Source organism: Homo sapiens, chromosome 8, assembly GCF_000001405.40.
Source record: "Homo sapiens chromosome 8, GRCh38.p14 Primary Assembly".
NCBI lineage: Eukaryota > Metazoa > Chordata > Mammalia > Primates > Hominidae > Homo > Homo sapiens.
The window spans coordinates 19783588-19786780 of record NC_000008.11 but is presented as its reverse complement, the minus strand read 5'-3'; the positions used below and the strand labels follow the sequence as shown (position 1 = coordinate 19786780).

General features: G+C 36.6%; 1 annotated feature.

The window, feature by feature from the left end:
- Positions 457-657: a silencer, noted in NCBI's record as "peak6932 fragment used in MPRA reporter construct". NCBI's record gives its function as "represses an SCP1 promoter by STARR-seq MPRAs in K562 erythroleukemia cells {active_cell/tissue: K562}" and the evidence as "EXISTENCE:reporter gene assay evidence [ECO:0000049][PMID:32103011]".

Below are 3193 nucleotides of genomic sequence, written 5' to 3'. Positions count from 1 at the left end.
AAAAATGTATGTCTTTTTTAAATCCCAAAAGTAATACACACTTATTTTAAAATTAAAACAATACAAAATGCAGATAAAAAACAGAACTTTCTCTCTTTTACTGCATCTCCTTAATCCAGGAGTGGAGGGGTATGTATATCTACATCTCCAGACCTTTCTCTAAGATAAGGAATTAAACCCTATCCGTTCTTTTTGATAGCGATGGAGGGGCTACGAGTTCGATATGGGTTCCTTTTCAAGCAAAGATAGTCACCTTTGTCTTATGTCCTTTATGTGTATATTTTCCATTTGTTGTTTACCTTTAAAGGTTAAACTAAATATTAATTATAATTCATTTTAAATTTTTTAAATTAGGCTTTTGTTGCTGTTGCAGTCAAATTTGCTCATCTTTTCCCTTGTGTTTTCATTTTTAATTCTTTTCACCTTACAATGGGCTTTTTCACCAAAAGGCTCACAAAATATTAAGTTCTGTCTTCTGCTAATATAAAATTGTGGTATATATTGTAAGATGATCTTCTGAAAGCTTTCTCCCCCCAAATGGTGAGTCATGTCCTCAAACGTTGGGCTGCATAATCCCGGTCTTTCTCAATGATTTGCAGTGCCTCCATCGTTCTATTTTAAGTTCAGAACTCTAAGAAGATCTTTCTCCAGTGTATCTTGTTTTATTGAGTTGTGTCATTTAATGTTATTTTTAAAAAGTGTTACATAAAAATAGGTCTGATATTTTAATAAGAGTAGATTTCCCTTTGTATAAAACACAGAAAAGTTTATGTATGCCTCCCTGGGAAATGTTTTTCCTCCAGAACTTGCCAAAATTTTTAAAAAGTGCTGTTAATATTTTATGATGTACATTAAATATGGATTAACATATAAAAATGAGATTACTCATTTTCTTATTTTCAGTTTAGAGCTTGAGTTCTGCTCAGATGTTTACTTCTCAGTGATGATGAGGCGGGGGACACAGCAGAGAGTTGGTACCTAATCAATACTGCTAATCTTGTTTTGCAGATGAAAAAACTAAGGACCTAACTAGGGTCTGTCTCATATGCATGACTGACTGCTATTATTGAAGAAAATTTGGCTTGCTTTCTTCCTCTGACTTTTGTAAACATCTCTTTTTAAGTATGAGAGTTAGAGCTTCTTGTTTCCTAATTCACAACACATCTTTTTCTCTTAAAGAATGGGTATCTAAATATTGCCATGTAAAAGTTTTAAGAGAATGTGGCATGTAGAGTGTCTAAATCATGTAAGAGCAGAGCTTAACTACAGCCAATTGAATTATGAGTGTTTAGATGTTCACATTCTCGTTCATTGATTAAAAACTTGATTTCAACATTTCAACTTGATTTCAACTGTGCCTAGCTGTGCAGCTAACATCTCAAATTATCTCTTATTATTTTTAAGTTGTGGTAAATATATGCAACATAAAATTTACCACATTGACCATTTTAAGTGTACATTTCAGTGGCATTAAGTATATTCACAATGTTGTACAGCCTTCACCATCATCCATCTCGAGAATCTTTTCATTATCCTACACAGAAAATGTACCATTAAATAAGTAGCTCCTCATTCTCTCCTCCTTAGTCCCTAATAACCTCTGTTCTACTTTTGTCTCTGTGTATTTCCCTATTCCATGTACCTCCTGTAAGTTAAATCATACAATATTTTCCCCTTAGTGTCTGTTTATTTCACTTAGCATAATGTTTTCAGGGTTCATTCATATAGTAGCAGGTATCACAATTTCATTTCTTTCATGGCTGAATAATATTCCATTATGTCTATACACCATATGTTGTTTATCCATTCATCTATTGATAAGCACAAAAGATGTTTCCACCTTTTGGCTATTGCAAATAATGCTACAGTGAACACTGAGTATCTGTTTGAGTCACTGTTCTCAATTGTTTTTATAAAATTTAAGTTCCGGGATACATGTGCAGAACGTGCAGGTTTGTTACCTAGGTATGTGTGTGCCATGGTGGTTTGCTGCACCTATCAACCCATTATCTAGCTTTTAAGCCCTGCATGGATTAGCTATTTGTCCTAATGTTCTCCCTCCCCTTGCCCCCCAGCCCCCAACAGGCCCTGCTGTGTGTTGTTCCCCTCCCTGTGTCCATATGTTCTCATTGTTCAGCTCCCACTTATGAGTGGGAACTTGTGGTATCTGGTTTTCTGTTCCTGTGTTAGTTTGCTGAGGATGGTGGTTTCTAGCTTCATCCATGTCCCTGCAAAGAACATGATCTCATTCCCTTTTATGGCTGCATAGTATTCCATCATGTATATGTACGACATTTTCTTTATCCAGTCTATAATTGATGGGCATTTGGGTTGGTTCCATGTCTTTGCTATTGTAAATAGTGCTGCAATAAACATGTGTGCATGTGTCTTTATAGTAGAATGATTCATATTCCTTTGGGTATATACCAAGTAATGGGATTGCTGGGTCAAATGGTATTTCTGGTTCTAGATCCTTGAGGAATCGCCACACTGCCTTCCACAGTGGTTGAACTAATTTACATTCCCACCAACAGTATAAAAGCGTTCCTATTTCTCCAAAGCTTCATCAGCATCTATTGTTTCTTGTCTTTTTAATAATTGCCATTCTTAGTGGCGTGAGATGGTATCTCATTGTGGTTTTGATTTGCATTTCTCTAATGATCAATGATGTTGAGCTTTTTTTTATCTGTTTGGCCACATAAATGTCTTCTTCTTCTTCTTTTTTTTTTTTTTTTTTTGAGACAGAGTCTTGCTCTGTTGCCCATGTTGGAGTGCAGTGGCACCATCTCGGCTCAATGCAACCTCTGCCTTCTGAGTTCAAGTGATTCTCCTGCCTCAGCCTCCTGAGTAGCTGGGATTACAGGCATGCACAACCATGCCCAGCTAACTTTTTGTATTTTTAGTAGAGACAGAGTTTCACCACGCTGGGAAGGCTGATCTCGAACTCCTCACCTCATGATCTGCCCGACTCAGCCTCCCAAAGTGCAGGGATTACAGGCATGAGCCAGTGTGCCCGGCCAGTGTATTTTTTTTGAGAAGTTGTCTGTTCATATCCTTTGACCACTTTTTGATAGGGTCAAAGGGTTTGTTTTTTTCTTGTAAATTTGTTTAGGTTCCTTGTAGATTCTGGATATTAGACCTTTGTCAGGTGGGTAGATTGCAAAAATTTTCTCCCATTCTGTAGGTTACCTGT